Consider the following 21,806-nt stretch of genomic DNA (forward strand, 5'->3'; position numbering starts at 1 on the left):
CATCCCTTACCACTCAATTTGTGTGCTATTACTGTCTAGCCTTGATTTCAATATGTCCTTGATTTCAAGAAGCACATTTTCTTCACACCTTAATATCTTTGCAGTTGGCACATGTCTTGTAATTGAGATCTACATTTAATGTAGTGGGGTTGTTTAAATTGACATTGCATTTTTATAATTGATGGAGACCAAGAATTGAGAAAATAGGATAATGGATGCCTTTATTCAACCCATCAATCACCTACAATGAATGTCAGGCATTATGTTAGATTCTGGGAATGTAGAAATAACTAGCATGCAGTCCCTGAGGTCACGATCTTGAGAGGGGGGAGTGGACTGGATGAATCAACAGCTAGAGCTCACAGTGATAAGGGCTGTGATTTTGGGGGCCCCAGGGTGTGTGGGAGGATCAGAGGAAGGAGGCAGGGGAGGCTGGGACTGCTTTGAGGAGGTGTATCACAAAGGAGGAGGGGAATACGAGGGATTAGGAGTGGATGGGAGATGGGTTGGGGAAGGGCATTCCAGACAAATGGAATGGTTGGAGCAAACAAAGGCTCAGAATCAGGAGAAACTAAAATGTGTTTGGGAGCATCAGAGGGTTCTGTGGCCAGAGTGGAGGGTGTGTGCTGGGACATGGGCATGAAATGAGGCTACGGAAATAGATGGAGGCAGATCACAGAGGACCTTGTGCATACCAATGAGTTTCATCTCTATCCTAGATCCCAACGCGAATCACTGAAGGATTCTAAGCAGGGAAGTAGGCCTTAATGTGTGTTTAGGAACTCCAGATTGAAAGCAGGATAGTGGGGTGGGGCGGGAGGTGGTGGGTAGGGTGACAGCTACTGGAAGAGAAAGAAGAGCTACCCTGAAGGATGAAAAAAGCCTCATTCCTTTTTGCTATTCCCAGGCAGGCAGACCTGATCTTGGAGGCTTGAGGAAGATCACACAGTGGTGCAGCAGGGCATCTAGAAATAAAACCTGCAGGTTTTACCCTTGCCTTAATCCCGTCATGTGTGCCCTCATCTCAAGACAGTCACAAGATCAATAGGCAAGCTGATCTATGAATGGATGCTAGGAGAAGCTAGACAAAGAAGAAAAGCTTACCACTTGTCTCTGCTTGTTAAAGAAATGTCATTTCAATCTGCAGTGGTGTCATTCCAACTTGTACTTGCCAAATTAGTTCAAGGATTAGAATTTTTGACTGGGTGCGGTGGCTCACGCCTGTAATCCCAGTACTTTGGGAGGCCGAGGCAGGTGAATCACTTGAGGTGAGGACTTCAAGACTACCCTGGCTAACATGGCGAAACCCATTTCTACTAAAAATACAAAAATCAGCCTGGTGTGGTGGTGCATGCTTGTAATCCTAGCTACTTGGGAGGCTGAGGCAGGAGAATCGCTTGAACCCAGGAGGCAGAGGGTGCAGTGAGCTGAGATCATGCCACTGCACTCCAGCCTGGGTGACAGAGTGAAACTGTGTCTCAAAAATAGGGTGGGTTAGAATTTTTTACAGTTGGATGGGAGCGTATGCCAGTGCTAGAGAAAACAAATGTACAGGTATTGGTGAGAACCATCTCAGGAAAAACACAGTATAATACAGGTATTAAGTGTGAAGAGGAATAAGAGAGAAGCAGGTAAAATGCTGTGGTTTGCGTGGGAGTCCCACAGCAACCATGTACCCAGTGCTGTTCACTGACTGGACCACCCATGAGAGACACTCTGGAGACAGATGTGGGGATGAGAGGTGGAAGATGCTCTTTCACCGTATGGGTGATGCTTTGAAAGGGGTTGGAGATGAGTCTTGATATTGTGACCGAGACTTATGGTTTTCTTCCCTTTTCACTTCCCTGAACAGGTGCAGTGCCATACTTACACTGGGTACTGCTGGTGTGTCACCCCGGATGGGAAGCCCATCAGTGGCTCTTCTGTGCAGAATAAAACTCCTGTATGTTCAGGTACCGTAGGGAGGGGCGGGAAGAATGAAAAGGGTTGGAGAGAGACCCGTTGGTTGGTCTCCTGCATCTTGTGGGAGAACCTTTAGAAGGTTGATGGTGGTGATGAACCTTTTTCTAGATCAGGGAGGATTCTACTCTAACATGCTTGCTCGGAAGTCAGCAAATGATAAGGCATGACAGTGTATGCCATGTGTGTGTATTTATGGATTTTGAGTTTAGATTTTTGGTTCAATGCTCTCCTTCTAAGCACTGGCTGTAATCTCATAGAGCTGTGGTGGCATATGAGTTACTAGCTTTTGTGCTGATTCTGATTGCTAGTGGCTCTTGAAGTGCTTTATTGAGTTGGATTTTGAGACCACCTGGGAGCTCAGCATCCAAGGCTGTAGTTATCTATTAGTGATGTCTATCATGGGATCAGGAGAGAAGAATGGTGGCTTCTGTGTCATATACTCACCACCCCTGAAGAATGTAATGTAGAGAAATGGAAAATTTTCGTAACAGTGGCCCTTAAATCTGACTGATCAACAGCAATGTCTGGGAAATTAAAGAGAACCCAGATATCGAGGCTTCCTCTTGTATATTCTGATCCAGGAGGCCTGGAGGGAGACCTGAGGTCTTTGTTTTTATGAAGTCTCTCAGGTGATTCTGATGATTAGACAAGTTAGCAAACTATTGCTTTATAGTGATCCATTGGGTTAGGCCATAGCAAAAATTAAGTCCTTTCTATTCCCAACTTAATAAACATAGAGAAATTGTGCTTTTTAGGTCCATTTCATGGGATTGTGGATTAGGGATTTTTACAAGCCCCACAGTGTCCACCTCCATTCAGATGGTAAAAGACTCTGAGTCGCTCCCTTAATTCACTATGTGGCTCAGCTCTCTCAAAAAAGCCTGTCTCACCCATCAGCTGATTCATATTTCTTCATATCTGTGTGCATAGGGTTTTATTGATTTACATATTTTTCATTTTAAGTGCAAAGTATAAAACATTATGCTAAAACCGATGGGAAATTCCAAAGGCTGACAGTCTTGCTATCATAGCTTTTTCTACTTGCTCTGTTACATGAAGGAAAAAGAAAGTGGAAAGGGCTATAAGAATCTACATCAGGAAACCCAAATTTACAGGTCAAAAAGGGAAGTTTACTTTATTTGTGGTTTACATGGAAACTAGAAACCTTAATTGGGGTTGGGGTAGGGAGGTACAGGAATTAGCCCTCCTTTCAAATGACCTGGAAAGTTTCATTTAAAGCAAACAAACGACTAGAAACAAGCCATGCAGGATAATATGTTTGAGTTCTCACACAACTGGTATATGGAGAAGGAGTATGACATGGATTAGGGAAATAGAGATTCTTTTCTTTTGGCGGGACTCCACAGATGCCCTTCTGTGCATGGGCTGGTTGTACCCTGCCTGTGTGAGGCTGGACCTCAGCAGAAGACAGGTGCCACAGGGTCAGGACTGGAGGAGGGGATGCACAGAGCACCCTAGTATATGCAGGGCAAATGCTTGGGCAAACATACCTGCTACCCGCTCCTGGAGGAACAGGCTGTGCTTAGAAAATTGTTTCCATGCCTTAGACTATTTTGGCCCATTCAGTACAATTGGGCCAACAATTTTCTACTTAATGCAGATGGAGAATCGCTGATTTCCTGTCCTAACCAGCAAGGGATGTCAATCATTGCCTTTGCAGTAAAAGGGAGTTTCTTTTCAGTTGGCCTTGCTGACTGAATATGGCTCCAAACATGGAACTGGTGAGAAGTTGGGGAGATGGGGGTGTAAAGGTGAGGGGCAGATATTGGAATATTCAACTAGGGAGTTATATGAGTGTGGAATTTTGTAAAAATGTGGTCAAGACTGTTTCCAGGGAACCTAGAAATCATAGTTCATCTTAACAGTGCTGGGTTATCAGTGACATTGATGTTAAACAAACCCCACTCAACATGTGTATATGTACTAACATTGTATATAATATCCTTAGATGTGTATACAATACATATATACATGACCATATGCTCATAACATCAGGTTTTGCCAACTCTTAGAAAGAAACCAACCACAATGCATTCTGAGTGGCTATGTTTTTGTTTCCCTTCTCACCCAAGGTTCAGTCACCGACAAGCCCTTGAGCCAGGGTAACTCAGGAAGGAAAGGTGAGTGGAGTTTTATGCTTTATCTAAATGTTTGCTTCCAAAGGTGGTCCAAGCAGGATTTCTTAGATGAGATAGAAGGAGCCTGGGGTGAAAGCCTAAGGTGTCCCGCAGAACATCTTCTCCATTCTTATTCCATGTTTCCTCTCTGAAGCACCCGAGGTAAGTAAGGCTCATACAGTGATGGACACCAAGCTCCCAGATTTCCCAAGGGAGGTGACTGAGTATAGAGCCCAGAGCTGGGAAGCACCTTTAGAATGTGAGCCCTAGGAATATTGGTTCCCTGGGGAGCTCGGTCAATCAACTACCAGTGTAGCCAGCATTAAACCAGAGAGGATGAGGAAGGTAGGGTGCCCAAGTCTGCCCTTGGCTCTCTTGTTGTGTAAGCACATTTGGGCATTTTTCCCCCCTCGCTGATGCTCCTTCATAATTGTCCCAGCACATCCAGATTCTCTTCACTAAGGCGAGGCTGGCTTTGTGGGCATGCGACCTGTGCAGTTGCTATCCTGAAATTCTGAATAATTCTGTCTTTGAGTCTGATGGGACAGTGAAGATGCGAGTGAGTGGAGGAGAGACACGTCATATGAGTGTCTGCTGAACCTTGTCACCTCATTAGCACAAAGCTTTTGTGAGGTGTACTATGTGGCTTCCATAGCATGCTTAAAATTTTAATTTTTCTTTATCTAGGACAATACTAAGTAGCAAATTAAAATAACACCGTGACAAGGTAAGAGAGAGAGACTATGGAATAAAGGACAAAGTTTTGTATTTTAGTGCCTTTAATGGCACTTTTCCCTGCTTTTTGAATGAAAGGCCCTGCATTTTTACTTTACACTGGGCCCCACAAGTGACGTAGCTGGCATCTGTCTGAGGGCTGTTTATTGGACAAGCCAACATGAGCCATAGGTCCCTGGAATATGCTGACCATAGTTTTTAGCATGGAAGACAGTTGGAGGCTTAAGATTCACTGCCACTGACCTCCAGGACAGCATATGTGCAGAGCTGGTAGTTGAATGGAAAGCAAGTGTGCATTTCATCTCGTGTGCAGCCTCTCCAGGACTCCCATCTCAGGCTGAGTTTGGGGCTTCCCACCTGCATCTAGGCCTTGGAAACTACATGCTCATCAGGGCCCACGTGGAGCCTTGGGCTTGCTGAGGGTCATTGTGAAGTTCACAGGCTTGTCCTGCACACACAGTTGCAGGGAGACCAAGGTAAAGCCCTGGGCCCTGCCTCCAGTGCTTATGCCATGGGATGGGAAGAAGAGGCGAAGTCACCCACTCTGAATGCAGGAGATAAGGATCTGGAGAACCTGCTGCCCCCAAATGCAGGTGCTCCAAGAAGATGTGGAAGTGGAACAGGTGATACCACCACCCACCAGAAAACAGGGACCAATGGGCCAGATGGGCTACTGCTCTTTCCCTGGGCAAAAATGAGAAAGTGGTTGGAAAGGGAAGTAAGTGCTTCTTCAGGTCCTTCCCAGGGCATGAGGAGACTACCATAAGTGTGGGTGGTTCCCTCCTAGGTGGGAAAGTGGGGAGAGAATCTACAAAGACCTGAAATCACCAATGCTGTGAGTAGTGTGTGTTTACTGGGATTGGAAAAGGAAGATGCCTTCAAGTTTTCTATTGCGTGTGTGTGTGTGTGTTGTTTTTTTTCTAGCAGAGCATTTTTAATTTTTATCTTTTAGAGACAAGATCTCACTATGTTGCCTAGGCTTGCCTCAAACTCCTGGGCTCAAGCAATTCTCCCACCTCAGCCTCCCAGGTAGCTGGGACTACAGGCATGCACTGCTTTTAGTTTTGCCTGTTGCAATGGAAATCTTCAGGAACATCACCTTTATTCCTGGGCATGAGGTCCTGGTAGTAGGAAAGAAAAATTGTCAATCATGCAAAACTGACCACCCAGATTCCCCTCCTCCAAAGGGAGCTGATTGTATGATGCTGAATAAAGTGCACACACACTAAACAACTGCCAGCCATGGGATTCTGGTTCTTAAACTGGACAAGAAGTGCTTTCCAGGGGGATGTGGCTTTGCACCCTGTGGACAACAATGACAGACAGACCCATGGTCATCCCAGGCTCTCACTGGTCCAGCTGGAAGTGGGGGGGTGAGGGTGGCTGGGGATGTCAGTTTACAGTCAACAGTGAGCACCCTTTGTTCCCTTTTACAGTCAAGCAGTGAGTACCATTTGTTCCTTTTTAGCTCTAGGGTCAGCTTCCAGAGCCAAAAGAGGGTAGAGGAGCCTGGTTCCTCCAGGGGCGATGCAGGAAATGGGGGATAGAAACTGAAGCCTTCATCTCAGAGGGATAAGCTGCTCTCAGTTCCCAGCTCTTTACTCCCTTGCCCTCGATGGGTCCCTTCCTCCAAGATGGCTCTGCAGAGGCTTCCTCTTTGGTGCAAAGGTCAGGACAAGGCTCTGGTGGGGAATGCTAGGACTCATTCTCCCCTGGAGTCTTAAATCCTATTTAGTGGCCTCTCTTTCCCTGTACTTTGAAGGATCTGATTAGGTGTTGGATCCTCTTCTCTTTGTCTGCTATGGGCAGCGCAGTGAAGAGCAGGTTCGGGCCACCTGTAGGACGCCACACCTGAAGCCACACCTGTCCAGGAAGCTGGGGTTTGAATGGGGACAGGGTGCGAGAGGGCATTAGTAATATCCTGTGTCGACTAGCCAAGGTTCCTCTTTCAGCTGCCACTTAAGAATGGAATGTGCTCTGGAAGGCAGCAGGTGGGAAGACACAAAGGCCCCTTGTCTGAGCTTGTGCCCGCACATGGCTTCTCATAGGAGGCATCTATTACCCTGAGGCCTGCTGCAAAGAGGTGCTGGGTCTGCACCCTTGTGCAGGGTGATGGATATGGCCAGAAAAGAGGTGGGGCCAGAGGTCTGGAGGTGTGAGTGGTGGGGGATGGCAGGGCAAGGACGGGACCCGGGACCCAGCCTTCTCTTTCCCTAGCCTCTTGCCTTTTTGAATATCCTCCACTGACCGGGCTGGGAGGGATCGGCTGTCCCTCCCAGGCTGGAAGGAATGAAAAGATGTATTGTGTGACCACGGAGAGTCTGGTCGCCAGCCAGGAATTAGTTCTCTGAAGGAGAGGAGGAGAAAGGCAGAGCAGAAGGAGGCTGGGGGAGGAGGCCCAGAGAGATGGCAGGAGGAAGGGAGGAGAGAGAGAGGCTGGGTGGTCACAGCCGTTTGGTCTAAGACAGGAGGCCTGAGTGGCTGTGGCTCCTGGATCCACAGGTGTGGGGCCCCAGGGAAGAAGTGGGGGAAGGAGGGGGAGACACTGTTATCTTACCCAGATGCACGTGCTCCAGGAGGGGAGGAGGGTCAAAACTTCAGACTATTTACTTAATCCCTTGGAATGTCCTTTCCTCACTCTGTTCTTTGGGCCCCTTGTGTTTAACGAACTCCTTTATGGGCACATGTGTGGTAATTAACAAATGCAGTGTAGGTCCTGGACCATGTGTTTGAGTTTCAAATATCCATTGATCTGGGGCAATCCCATCCTGGCTGCCCCCTCCCCTTCTTCTCCTTTGGTCCTGGCCCTTAAAGAGAGACGTGTGTGTGTTGTGTGTGTGGGAGAGGGGGACGGTGCACATGTGCATTCACATGTGTTTTATGGATGCTACAGAGGAATATCAGAAGAGAGGAAGAGGGCCCCAAACAGCCCCTTTAGCTCTGAAAATGCACTGCTAAAACAGTTGAAGGCTGAAGAAGTAGAGATAGAGGTAAAGTTTTGGTTTTCACTGGAGTCATCCAAAGGAAAGTAGATTGGAAGCAGAATGGTTTCAGAGATCAAGAAGTTATCCTGCAGCAGCTTTACCTGGCTGTACCAAGGCCTATGGATTTTTCTGATGTGACTCTTTTTGGGGTCTCAATGCTAATTACCATAGGTGATTTGAGGAGCTTCCAGGATAACTGAACACAGGTTCAGGGGCTGGCCCTGCCCTTCATTGCTTGTGAAGTGCAAGGAGGGAAGGAAGTTCTTAGCCTCTGGTGGGGTGAAGGGGGGCAGTGGTGAAGAGTGATTAAATGAAAGGATATGGAAAAGCACTTGTGAAATGATTTCTGGCAGTTCTCTGTGAGCTTTTGACTTCTGAGTGCCCAGAGCATCAGAGGCCATGGGGTGATGCTGTGATAAATGGCAAGTGAAAGTTTAGGGTCACCAGGAATTTTCTGCGGTTTGCATTTTTCCCATAAGAAGTCTGGGAGTTAGTTGTTTAAGGAAAGCAAGAGAAAAATAAAAATACTAATATACTCTGCTAAACTTTTCTGCATGGGCTTCTGTATTTGTCAAGCTAGTCTTGGAGAGGGGCAGAACTTCAAAAATCCAACCCAGCTTTAATTTTCAGAGTTTAAAAAGAAGATCTCCCACTGGCTGTTCCATAGTATGTGCTCCAAGTAAAGAGTGAGTCATATTTATTTCTCCAAGGTCCCTGTCTGTATCTCTATTTTTAGAGCTGGGTCTACAGGTTGTTGCCAACTTGGAGACCTTGTCACTCAAGCAATGGATGGAGCAGCTCTGAGGGGCAGGCTTAGGACAGAGGCAATGGCTGGCAAACATCCCAGACGAAGGGGACTGGGTGGCCCCCCAGCCTCAGCCCTCATAAGGTGTTAACACACCTGAAGGAGGGGTGCTTCATTGCCCTGAGCCTGGCAGAGCCGTGTTGGGCTGGCTGTCGAGGGACATTCCACATGTGAAATGTCACTCCTGCTCACATGACTTAAATCTCTTCCCGACTACCTCTTTTTTCTCTTCCCCTAGCAACCACGGGGGTATGGGAGGCTGAATCTGTAGCTGATCTCTTAGCATTGCCATCAGGTGGGCTGGGCTGGGTTTGAATGGAGATGGGCAGCTGACGACCTCCATGCTGTTGGCTTCTGCTCACATGGCTTTTCTTGGAGAAGGATTCTCTCTGATTCTGTGCCTGCTGAAACAGAACTGTGCCTGAGCAGCTCCAAGCCTGAGAGAGGCAGCTCGTTTGCTTTCTGGTTCTCCGAGCCGCCTCCACCAAGCCTGGAATGTTCATATACCAGCTTCGCAGAGGTCAGTTTCAGAAGGGGTGTGCTTGCATGCTCACACATGTACCATGTCTCCCTCCTTCCCATAGCTAACTGCTCCGCCAGCTTGGCTCCAGCTACTCAACCGCCTCCATTTTGGCCCGTATTCCAGGGTCTCTGAAGAAAAGTTTATGCATGAACAGCACTAGACTGAGAGTTTGATTTCCTGCCATATCCTCATCTCCAAGGATTGGAGAGAGAATAAGATTTAGGGATCTGGAAAAAGCCTCTTAGACATAAATTCATTTGAATCCCTGGTGTTATTAGTAACCATTGATATTTTACGCTTGGTGCTTTTACTCAGCAAATATTTATGGAGAACTTACTAAATGTCAGGCTTGTTATCGTCACTAAGGACCCAGGGATGAGTATAACAGTACGAGTCCAGGCCTCACCTCCTGGAGCTCACATTCTAATTGTTCTTAGCCTTTTATGATGGAGGTTATTCATCTTCAGGTGGAGGAAAACCTCCAGCGGAGCAGCAGGCTTCTGTAAGCTCTGGGAAGTTGCCACCTCTGCAGGGGAGGGAAGGCAGGTGGCCCCTCCAAACAACCCTGTGTGGTAGCTCCTGTAGCCAGAGCCTCTAAGGAAAGCCCCTTGGAGCGGGTGGCCTGAGCTGAGCAAAGCCCTCTGCCAGGTTCCTGAGCCCTCTGACTAGTGCCTTTGTGGGGCCACTGAAGTCCAGGTGAGAGGGCTCAGAGCTTGTCAGGCCAATGAGAGTATGTTCATTTGCTCCCTGCTCCCGGCCTAAGTTCCAGTGTGGCACAGCAGCTTGCAGAGAGGTAGGGATATGGGCACATAGGTGGACAGGCCTTGGGCCTGCTTCTGACCCCTGGTCTCCAGCTCAGAGGGCCACAGAACTCGTGTGGTAAAGGCCGAGGAACTGTCACTCTCAGGTTCCATTGCAGTGATCCTGTGCTTGCAGAAAGAAAGATGTGAGATTCAAGGGCTGATTATTCTCAAGTTTCTTCGGAAAGGCAATGGAACTAGAATAGCTGAAACAATTTTGAAAAAGAAAACTAAAGTGGGAGGAACCATTTTATCTGATTTTAAGATGAATAAAGCTAGAGTTCTAGAGATAGTGTGGTATTTGTGGAGTAACAGATGCATGAATCAATGGAACAGAATAGAGGACCCAGAAACAGATCCACAAACAAATGGTGCTCTAGCAATTGGACATCCACAGACCAAACAAATAAAATTAACAAATCGACCCCAAAGCCTCAACCTAAACCTCAGACCTGATATGAAAATGAATTCAAAATGGATCGTAGACTTAAATGTAAAATGTGAAGCTATTAAAACTTTTAGAAGAAAACAAGAGAAAATCTTCACCACCAAAAACATAATCTAGAAGATAATATATATAAGTTGAACTTTAAAATTTGCTCTGCAAAAAGTGCTGTTAGAGAATTAAGAAAAAACTACAGCCTGAGAAAAAATATTTGCAAACCGTCTATCCAACATAGGACTCATATCTAGAGAATATAAACAACTCTTAAAGCTTAGCAGCTAAAAAACAGTTTAATTAGAAAATGGTGGCCTGGCATGGTGGCTCACACCTGTAATCCCATCACTTCGGGAGGCTAAGGTGGATGAACCACTTGAGGCCAGGGGTTCAAGACCAGCCTACCCAACATGGTGAAACCCTATCTCTACTAAAAAAAAAAAAAAAAATACAAAAATTAGCCAGGCATGGTGGCACGTGCCTGTAATCCCAGCTACTCAGGAGGCCGCGAGGCAGGAGAATCACTTGAACCCAGGAGGTGGAGGTTGCAGTGAGCCGAGATCGCGCCACTGCACTCCAGCCTGGATGACAGAGCGAGACTCCATCTCAAACAAACAAACAAACAAACAAACAAAAACAAAAAATTAGCCAGGCATGGTGATGTGCACCTGTAATCCCAGCTACTCGGAAGGCTGAGGCAGAAGAATTACTTGAACCCAGGAGGTGGAGGTTGCAGCAAGCGAGATCATCACTCCAGCCTTGGTGATGGAGTGAGACCCTGTCTCAAAAAAAGAAAAAAAAAAAAGAAAAGAAAGAAATTGGCCAAATGCACAAATAGACATTTCACCAATTTCACCAAGGCAGACAAACAGAGGGCAAATATGCACACAAGAAGAGGCTCAGCATCATTAGCCACAGGAAATGCAAAATAAGTCCATGGCAGGATGTCACTACATATCTATTAGGAGAGCTAAAAGAAAAAGTAGTGTCAACACCAAATGATAGTGAGGCTGCCGAGAAACTGGACCTCTCATACATCGCTGGCAAGAATAACATGGTACAGACACACTGGAAAAATACTTTGGAAGTTTCTGAAAAACAACTAAACATACATATACCATATAATCCAGCAGTTGCACTCCTGAGCATTTATTCCAGAGAAATGAAAATTTATGGCCACACACACAAAAAACCTGTACACGAACAAGAAGCAGCTTTATCTGTAATAGCTGAAAGTAGAAAAAAAACCCCAAATGTCCTTCAGTGGATGAAACAAACTGTGGCACAGTAGTACTGCCCTACCCACGGCCAACCATGGTCTGAAAATATTCAATGGAAAATTTCAGAAATAAACAATTTGTAAGTTTTAAGTTGTGAGCCATTCTGAGTAGTGTGATGCAATCTCACACTGTCCTGCTCCCTCCCATCTGGGATGTGAATCATGACTTTGTCCAGCATACCCATGCTGTGTACCCTCCCTGTGACTTGGGGCCAGCTCTGTTATCAAGTGGATAGATTGCAAAATGAAGAAGGATGAATACAGTACAATCAGATATTCTGAGAGATAGACAATATTCATATAACTTTTATAAAAGTACATTGTTATAATTATTCTATTTTATTATTAGTTATTATTGTTCATCTATACCGTGCCTAATTTATAAATAAACCTTTATCATAGGTATGTATGGGGAAAAAACAGGATGTATAGGGTTCGGTTCTATCCGCGGTTGAAGGCATCCACTGGGGGTCTTGGAAGGTATCTGCTGTGAGTAAGGTGGGATCCCCTATCCATCTATACCCTGGAAAAATACTCAGCAATAAAAAGGAATGAATTGTTGATATATGCAACCACAACTTGAGTGGATCTCAAGGGCATTATGCAACATGAAAAGAGCCCATTTCAAAAGGTTGTATATTGCATGATTCCATTTATATAACAGTCTAGAAATGACAGCATTATAGAGATGGAGAACAGATTAGTGGTTGCCAGGTGTGAGGAATGGGGTGGAGGAGGGAAAGTGTGACAGTAAAAGTGGCACAAGGGAGATCTTTGTGCTGATGGAATAGTTCTAGGCTGATGGTGGTGGTGGTTACCTGAGTCTACACGTGGATAAAATTGCAGAGAACGATACACACAAATGAGTGCATTTAAAACTGGTAGAATCTGAATAAGGTCCATGGATTATATGAATATCAGTGTCCCGATTTTGATTTTGTACTAATTATGCCACCCAGATAATTAAAGAGCTTACCCATATCATTATGCTAACTATAAAGCCGTTACCATTGGGGGAAACTGGGTGAGGGGTACACAGGACCTCTCTGTATTATCTTTGCAACTTCCTGTGAATCGATAATCATTTCAAAATAAAAAGTTAAAAAAACATTAGCCGAGTCTTCTGTGTGAACCCAGCCCTGACCAGGCTCCTCTGCTGCCGGTGCTTCCTCTTCCTCTTCTGTCCCCAGTTTGCCTTTTCCCCAGCCTTCTGTTTTTGCTCTTCTTCAGCTCAAGGATGTGAGAACTGCCTGCAAAAAGGCAGCTTTCAGCTTGTTTTCACTTCTTTTGGGAGGGAACATGCAGGTAGGTATACGGAATATAAAACACTGACCTCCTGCTTTGGAAAGAACCTGACATGCCCGACCACTTCTGCTCCTACAGATCAGAATCAGGACAGTTCACCATCCATTTCTGAGCCTCGCTGGTCATGGCGCATGCATCTCAGGAAATGTTGAGGTGGCCTAGCATTCCATCCTCCTCTGGGTCTGATTCAGGGCAGGCTCTTAAGGGACTTTTGCAAACAGACACTGTTGTCTCCTTACGATGCCCAGAATGAGTTGTCTCCACTTCCACATTGAGCCTCAGAATCACATGTGGAGGGGGATGGTGGCTCTGGCATAAATGTGGTCCCTTCAAAGCAAGAACCTTCGAGCACTTCTACCAGGCTGAAGTTTATCTCCATGTCTTTTTCAAAGATGGACAATGGCAGCCTGAAAGAATATGAGGGAGGGTCACCAGTGATGGACATGGTTTGGGGAGAGCCCAAGAATTGAAGGGGACTTGGGATTGTTGACAGACCTTCCACATCTCAGAATGGGGGAAGTGGTTTCTTTTTTCCTCATTCTCCAAGGCTTCTCAGTCTCAGAGACCCCAAGAGATGCCATTAATACAGATTCCTCCTCTGGCTCCTTTGAGACATTTGCTTTTGAAGGACCTGGAAGAGAAAGCTCTTTGTATGTGGCCAGAATAAACTCATTGTACACCCAAACAATTAACTCCTCAATGGACTTGCCAGCCCCTTGAAAGGCCTGGCCCTGCGTCCCTGGACCTCTTGGGCTCTATTCAGTCCCTTAAGCACACCAATGTTTTTGGGTTTTTGTTTTGTTTTGTTTGTTATTCTGAAAAGTCTTTCCCTGAGAATAGTCTGAGCGGATCAACATTGTCCTCAGCCTGGCATTTATCTCTCCTCGCCAGCGAATGTCAATCAGGAATCAAAAAGCCAAACAGAGGAGGCTTTGAACGGTGTCATCGGGGGTCGAAGTGACTTCCAGCTGTCTGTGCGTGGGCCAGGCCTTCTCGCAGGGCAAGGAATTGTGCTGTCACACAAACCCACTGTCTGTATAGGCTCACAGAGCCCATGCGGGGGCTGCAACTTTCTGGGGCTGCACCTGCAAGGACAAGGCGTGACTGGGGGTTGGGGAATCTCCGGAGGCCAAATGCCAGGGCTCTGGGACCAGGCAGTTTCCAAAGCTGCTTGCTGCCTCTGGGACCTTGATCAAATCACTTACTTGCATTGTTATTCAATTCTCTTTTTATCTGCCTGGTTTCTCCCTCCGCCCTGGCTGGTGGTGAGAATAGATGAGGAAAGCTACCTGCCAGGAACTGAGTGTTGCAAAGTGTGGTAATACTATTATTACCGTTGCTCTTGACATCCTCCTTGAGAATTCTTTCAGTTTGCCTTATTTGTTGTTTGTTTTCATGTTTCCAAATTTGCCTTTTTTCTCCCTCCCTGTAAGAAAAAGGATAATCTTTGAATTGGCTTTTTTTTTTTCAGTGTTTATCCTCTTCCTTTTAATATGGAAGATTATTATAGTATTAAAGAGAAATACTCTCTGAGGTCCAAAAGAATCACGAAGAATATACACCAAACATCATCACATGCATATACAGATTCACATACATTTTTCTTTAAAACAGTGGAAGAGTCTTCCCCCAAATTAAGGACCACTCAAATAATCTAGCTGCTGCTGCCTCATGATTTATTTGTGATGACTTGGGCACACCTCCCTTTTTGTTTTAACAGCTTTATTGAAGTATAGTTTACATACCGTAAAATTCACTCATTGTAAATATACAACCCAATGAATTTAATAAATTCATAGTGTTGTACAATTGTCACCAGAGAACATCTCCATCACCCCAAAAAGCAACCTTGAACCCATTCACAGGTATTTTCTACTCCTACCTGTAGCTCTAGGCACCCCCAGATCTGTTTTCTGTGTCTATAGATGTAGCCTTACTAGACATTTCATATAGATGGAATCATACAACATGTGGTATTTACATCTGGATTTTTATACTTAGCATAATGTCTTTGAGATTCTTCATCTACATTGTCACATGTATTAGTAATTCATTCCTTTTAATTGCTGAATAGTATGCTATCATATGGATATATCACAATTTATTCACCAGTGGACAGACATTTGGATTGTTTTCAGTTTGAAGCTTTAATGAATAATGCTGCAGTGAATATTTCTATACATGTCTTTGTGTGGGCATGTTTTTATTCTCCTAGATGGATTCTAGGAGTGGAATTTTGGGGTTAAAAGTTGATGTTTAGCTTTTTAAAGAGACTGTCAAACTCCTTTCCAAAGTGGATGCCCAGTTGTACATTCTCACCAGCAATGAACAAGGGTTCCATTTCCTCCACATCCTTACCAACACTTAATATTGTCTATCTTTTTATTTTAGCCATTCTAGTGGCTGTTTAGAAGTATCTTGTTGTGGTTTTAATTTGTACCTTCCTAATGATTAACAATGTTGGATATCTTTTCATGTATTTATTAGCCATCTGTATCTCTTCTTTGGTGAAATGTCTGTCAAAATATGTTGTCCATATTTAAATAAGGTTGCTTGTTATTGAGTTGTAAGGTTTACCTTATTTTCAATTTAAAAACTTTGATAGGATTTTAATTTTGTAAACCCAATTTTAAAAGTAAGCAGTTGAATAAGATGGTTTGCACTCATGGAATTATAGATGCCCTTTAGTGGGCCTTTAAAGTGTTTTACACCTACACAAAAAAGTGTCCCGAGATTTTGTAGGCAGGTATCCTTCAATTTTAGAAGAGGATATTGCTATCCAGAGAAGTAAAAGGAGGGGCTCAACTTATCCAGAGTAAACTTATTACATGTGAAGGGGGATTTGGAGTGTGACTCCCCTTAAGACTGGGAGGCAGGAGCACATATAGAAACCTTGTTCTCTCCCCAGTGCCCAGTGTGGGGCCTGGTGTTGCTCCAGGGCTTGCCTGGAAGCAGAACTGATGTAGACCTTGGACCTAGGCCTTGGACTTGTGTTTGGTAGAAGAGGTGCTCTTATTTGCTGGGTCAGAAGCCAGGAGCCCAGGTGCCCGGAGATGATGGTTAGAGGGTGCTGTTCGCTTTGGCTTGGCTTCCCAGCCTTTGAGCATGCTGGATGTCACAGGTGATTCCTGGCAGCAGGGCATCTTGTCTTTTCTCACTTCATAAAGATTTCCATTTAGGACCTCCCCGTGGCAGAGCAGCTGTATCTCTTCACCCTCAGTGACCCTACCCTGCAGGAAGATTCCTTCCCTGCAAGTGGCTTTATGCCTCATGGGCTTCTCTGACTACATCTGGGAAATCTGTGGAGGTCCTTGACCTGCAAAAGGGCAAAGCTTCCCCAAAAAACCTTTTTGCCCTCCTTGAGTGCAGACCTTCTTTGCTGATGGCTGGGCCCGATGGGCAGTCCAAGATTTTCATCTGGATGATGGGAGAAATAAACAGAATGTTTTCAGTTGTCTTGCTCCAGAGAAGAGATACAGTTCTTGTAATATGGGAGGATTTTCATACCTACATTGAATATTAAAATATTACATAAGCCATATGCACTTGAGTTCTCATTATCATCCCTCCTGGAATGTTTGATTTTTCACTTTCCCTTTGTTAGCCTGTAAGACTCCTAAAATGAAGCCACCCTGTGTGGAAGGGCTGAGCACACTGTGCTGGACTATTTAGACTGTGAACTCTGTATCTGGCAGGCACAACCAAATGTGCATTGCAGCTGCCAAAAGACTCAATTCAGTGGCTCATTGAATTCAATGGAAAGAGGTGTTAATAGAGTCAGGGGAAGTGATGCTATTAAAAAAATGACATTGTGTGGCTCTGTTCTGTGTTTATTCTCCCTCAAAGACTTCCAGATCAAACTCACACAGTTTGGCATCAAAAGATGCCTGTTTTGGACTCCAGTTTGAGGCAAATAGTATATCCAGCATAGATACTCTTCTCTTCCTGCTACATCTCATTTCTTGGGATGATTGTCAGATAATTCAGGATCACTTTGGCTTCTGCAAGAGTTGGGTCTTGGTGTCAGTACATGAGAATAATATCAGGGTCAGGTGTCACCCGACTGTCAGCTCAGCTGCTGGCCTCAGCCTCTAACAAGGGTTAGAGTCTCCATAGCTCTTGAATCTTAAGCTCCCAAGGGTGAGATGTTGATGCAAAAAGGAGATCAGGACTCTGTATTCTCTCTCCCTCCCCCAATAAGATGCACGAAAGTCGGCCAAAGGTACTGAGAGCTCCAAATGGTAGAGGGTTGTTATTATTGATGATCTGACTGGCGTCACAGAGACTATCTGAGAACTTGCAATCTGCATAAATAGTTAATGCTCAGAGAATATAGTGTTCCATCCTAAAAGACCTCTAAGGGGTCTTGAGAAGAGAGGGATGGTGTAATCATCAAACCGCCTGAGACAACAGTGCTCTCCTTCCCTCCCCCCGTGGAGAGAAATCTCTTAAACTATATAACCTTAAGAGGGACAAAGATACCCTCTCCAAGCCTTCTCTAAGGGGGTAAAATTATTTCTTAGGGGATGAAAAACACTCATTTTACATATGAAGCACAAATATATATACTGTTTCTTTGCATTATTAAAATTTTATTAGGGAGATGATTAGGAAAAAATTACCTAAAAATGCTCCTTAGATGAGTGATAATGGAAAAAAGGTTGAGAAATACTGCTATAAGCTAAGGTTTTTGGGGCCCTGATGAAAGAACTCAGAGTCCTGGAAGGTAAATAAAGTCTGCACTAACTCCTGACCTGCAGAGGTTCTTGCTGTGCAGAGAGGACTGCCAACACTATTAGAATGATAAGCATTAGGACTTTGTTACTGGGAGCTCCCTGCTCCAATCATCTATGTTAGAAATTTCAAAGCAAGTCTAGGGTGATTTCTGCAAAGTCCCATGTCCTCTCCCATTTTGCTTGCCCTCCCTCTTATTGGGAATTGGGGTGTTTGCTATTTCACAGTTAGAAGCATTCTAATGATTCCTGATTCTCTTCAGTTCCGTGTGCTGGAGAGAGAATGGTTCTTCCTGCCTTCTTATCTGTTTTAGGTGAAAGTGGAGAAACAGTGAGGAGATTGGAAGGGAATGGCACACAGGTCTCTTGTTTTCCTTGAGCTCTTTAATCAGGGCCACTGAGCTGGTAGCTTTAGGGCAGGAAAGGAGCTGGGGACACCATAATTTGATGCCATAAGGATTGCCAACCTTATGCTAACATGCCTGGCCATAACTCAGGGCTGAGGGGGAGATACTGCCTCCCAGTTTTCCTGCGGGAACAAGGGCCAGCAGAGTCATACTGGTATCCTCAGATTTGTGAGAAACGGTCCCCCAAAGCCACGAAGCTTTAACTCCTTTCGTCCATGCCTTGGGATGGTGAACACACACCTGGATTTGTTTTGTTGTTTTGTCTCTCTATGGTTCTCTTTTCCTTCTTGCCCTTTTCTTCTTTTGTTTCTTTTTCTTTGTTCTCTTCACTGGGACTTGGCCGGGCCTTGTACAAACCCCAACCATTCAACAGTGCTGGAGAGTAGATAGTATTTACCTCAATAATGGTAGTCTCCTTTCGATTCTTTTTAACCCTCAATTCAGATGACGGGTCTAAGCCGACACCCACGATGGAGACCCAGCCGGTGTTCGATGGAGATGGTAAGATCTTGCATTACTTCTGATGTTCATTCTCCCACTCATTTTCAGGTTTGGGAAAAGTCTTAACGTTGGATGTTTGTTTAAGTTTTATTATTATTATTTTCTTTTTTAATTTCAATTTTTCCCAGTGTAAGCTGGGTTGTTTTAACCTTTTTAAAAAATGCAGATCCTCCCAGGAATTGGTACACTCTCCACTTCTGGAAGGGCCCTCTGTTCTCTCAGGCTTCCTGCCTGTCTCCTGGTGTCCAACAATAACACAGCCTGGACAGACCCTTGGAGCTGCCAAGACCCAGGAATCACAGCTGAGAAAGATAGTCAGGCCGGCAGTGTCCCTTCAGTAAATTAATTGGCACTTGCAAGTGTCCACTCTGTGCCTGGCACTGTGTGAGCCCCTCTGGGGGATGAAAAGGAGGTTTGGAGATGTAAACCTTTGCTCTCAAGACAGCTGCAACTCTTAGAGTGCTTTAAATTACGGGGTCTCCGTTCTTATTGTCATAGACATTTATGGAAGAAAGAGATCACCATGGTCTGGGAAAAGCTTTTGTGAAGAGCCAGGACTTGAGCTGGATCTTGAAAGTGGTGGGGAGGAGTCTGAGTGTTCCAGGCAGGGTGCTGGCATGGACAAGAGGGGAATGAGGTAGGGATGGGATACAGTGAGGAAAGTTGCAGGAAGGAGATTGGCCAGTGGGACTGGTTTGTGTAGGTTGTAGGGACGTTGAGAGTTGAGGCAGGACATTTTGGAGAGGAGAAATTCTAGGTCAAGAGAAATTGTGGCTGGTGGCAAAAGAGAGGCTGGAAGTCTCTGGAGGCATAGAGAGAGGATAGGAGTGCGGGGTGCAGGAGGTTCAAGTTGGAGGTGCTCAGGGCCTGTACTCTAAAGTTTACTGTACTGAGTACTCCATATTCCCTTGATGAGGAACTGGAAGTTTGGCAGAGTGAAGTCTCTAAAGTATGACAATAAGGTTGGGATTTTAGTGCAATATGTAGCAAACTTTGAGCAGCTCCTAGCTAAGCGTATCCAGCCCTGGATCATGAGACTGGGCAGAGTGACAGAAGAATAAAAAGAAATCATGCCACGGGTTAACACTGTGGCTATGGATGTCCCTAGCACAAGCTTAGCTCTGAGGAGGATTGAAATGTGCAATATCCTTTGCAATCAGCTCACTTATGGGAAGTTTTGTATGTTCATGTCTAAAAGTTTAGATGTAGATGTCTCTGTGATCCACAAAGGTCCTGGATCATTGACAAGTCTGGGACCCTGGGGGGTCAGGTGAGGGATGGAGACTGTCTCATCTTGGGAGACCTCCCCAATACCCTCATTGAAGGTCACTCCACAGTATGCTCAGGTCACTTAGGATTCCCATCTGTCCACTGGGTGACCAAATCCTGGAGAGGCTGGAGGCACCCTGGCACTCTCTTGATGGAGGAATTCAGCCTCTGCGCATGAGAAGCCATTAGAAAGGGGATTGAAGCACACATGAGACGCACTCCTTTCTTTCCCACCTGGAGCAATCTCGGCTCAGCCGTTTCCCCTAGAATGGTCTCTGTGGTTTGTTTGGCGTTCGTTTGTTGATTTATCCCCTTTAAATCTTCTCCCAGGGAAGCAGCTGAGAGGGACTTGGCTTGGCCCATGTTCCTTACCTCCTGGGATAATATTTTTATTCCTGGATGGAGTGCTCAGTGCCTCTGCATTCTGACCACTCTGCTTCCCAGCACAGGATGCCCTGATCGGCTCTTATGAGCTGTTGGGGAGAGAAGCTTCCGTTGTGAGGAAGGGAGGGGAACTGGGAGGAGTGGATGTGGGAGAGAGCTGAAGCCTCAATGCCTCAGACTTTGAAAAATGACTATTAAGAAGTCTGAGGTTACACTTCCACTCACATAGTCTCTTTGCCCAGACTTTTTCTCTCTCCTTTTCCTCACCCCTAGAAATCACAGCCCCAACTCTATGGATTAAACACTTGGTGATCAAGGACTCCAAACTGAACAACACCAACATAAGAAATTCAGGTAAATAACCTTCCTTGGATTATATATGTACCCAGTCCATCCTTCCTTGCCCCGTGGTTCTGTGACTACTTATTGTGTGGGTTTGGAAAAATCATTTAATCTGTCTGGTTGTCAATTTCTATAGCTATAAAATAAAGAGATTGGATAAGTTAATCCCTTCCAACTTTAATTTTCTTCAATTATCATCTCAGAGATCATCTTTCTTAGGTCGTTGATCCTCTTAACAAATTTCTTTGACTGTATATTATAATATTTTGGTTAACTTTCCATATGCCATGCAGAAGAATTTGAAAGAATGACTGGACATAAAGAAGTTGGACTTCAAGCCTGGAGGGAGTCGATTCTGTGTGTTTTGAAGGCTCTAAATAGGTGCTTACAGTCATGTCTTCTCTGGTCTGATCTTTTGGTAGGGGGTCTTGTGAGTGGTCAAGTTTGAGCACTGGCTGAACCCTCTGTAGAAAGTGATAATTTTTGAGGGGTGATCATATTTGTAGGATTTTTTTGTAGACTCTATTTAATAACAATAAAGACCAGAGTCAGTAAAGTCTATTTACTATCAATAAAGACTGAATGTTCATCAACAGGAAAATGTGTTCACAAGCGAAATCTGTATCTCTATCAAGGAGGATCATCTTTTCAACCGAAGACTTCATTATGCGAAATACCACTCTGCATAATTTATGCCTGGTTGTTGAATTTAGCCCTATCTTCTTTTCCTTATAGGTGGCAAGACTATGAACAAAAGATATATGACTTTGAACCAGCAGGCAGAATTTTACATGACAATCAATTAATGAGTGTCCTGTCATTGGTCCCCTTTAAGTTGACCTGTTCACCAGCTCTGTCCTAATGGTGGCGATGTGGCATTAGAATGCAAGGAATTATATAGACCAGGAGGTGAATTCACACGCCATCAGTTGAGTTCCTCTGTGACTTGGGCTGGTCATTGCCTTTTCATGTGTCTGTTCACTGATAAAAGTTGGAGATATGGGATGGTGGAGTGAAAGGAGACTGTGAACCCCCTTGGGTCAGTCTTTGACAGAATAGTGCAGTGGTTAAAGCACAGGCTTTGGAATTAGTGAAACCTGGGTTCACATTGTAGCTCCAACACTTAGTGACCCCAGTCAAGTCACATAATTCCTTTGAGCCTCAATTCTCATTCACAAAATGGGAATCACAATCTCTCCC

General features: G+C 45.0%; 1 protein-coding gene and 1 non-coding gene across 5 annotated transcripts in view, besides 2 other annotated features; both read left to right on the forward strand.

Annotated features, from left to right (window-relative positions):
- Positions 1-21,806, forward strand: part of SMOC1 (SPARC related modular calcium binding 1) — a 152,951-nt gene that overhangs the window by 94,447 nt on the left and 36,698 nt on the right. For 2 of the 4 annotated variants that reach the window (NM_001425244.1, NM_001425245.1), the window contains exons 4-7: positions 1,853-1,952; positions 4,056-4,103; positions 18,522-18,611; positions 20,538-20,618. In NM_001425244.1, the coding sequence (NP_001412173.1) occupies positions 1,853-1,952; positions 4,056-4,103; positions 18,522-18,611; positions 20,538-20,618 (319 nt within the window). The remainder of the gene's footprint in view (positions 1-1,852; positions 1,953-4,055; positions 4,104-18,521; positions 18,612-20,537; positions 20,619-21,806) is intronic. The other 2 variants (NM_001034852.3, NM_022137.6) reach the window with 1 other exon arrangement.
- SNORD169 (small nucleolar RNA, C/D box 169) lies at positions 4,271-4,334 on the forward strand. Its single transcript, NR_145786.1, has one exon. It is a non-coding gene; the product is annotated as a small nucleolar RNA, C/D box 169 (small nucleolar RNA).
- Positions 5,208-5,707: an enhancer, noted in NCBI's record as "H3K27ac hESC enhancer chr14:70445787-70446286 (GRCh37/hg19 assembly coordinates)". NCBI's record gives its function as "activates a minimal SCP1, AML or CMV promoter by ChIP-STARR-seq in primed H9 embryonic stem cells {active_cell/tissue: H9 hESC(primed)}" and the evidence as "EXISTENCE:reporter gene assay evidence [ECO:0000049][PMID:30033119]".
- Positions 13,498-13,999: an enhancer, noted in NCBI's record as "NANOG-H3K4me1 hESC enhancer chr14:70454077-70454578 (GRCh37/hg19 assembly coordinates)". NCBI's record gives its function as "activates a minimal SCP1, AML or CMV promoter by ChIP-STARR-seq in naive H9 embryonic stem cells {active_cell/tissue: H9 hESC(naive)}" and the evidence as "EXISTENCE:reporter gene assay evidence [ECO:0000049][PMID:30033119]".

The sequence above is a fragment of the Homo sapiens genome, chromosome 14 (assembly GCF_000001405.40).
Source record: "Homo sapiens chromosome 14, GRCh38.p14 Primary Assembly".
NCBI lineage: Eukaryota > Metazoa > Chordata > Mammalia > Primates > Hominidae > Homo > Homo sapiens.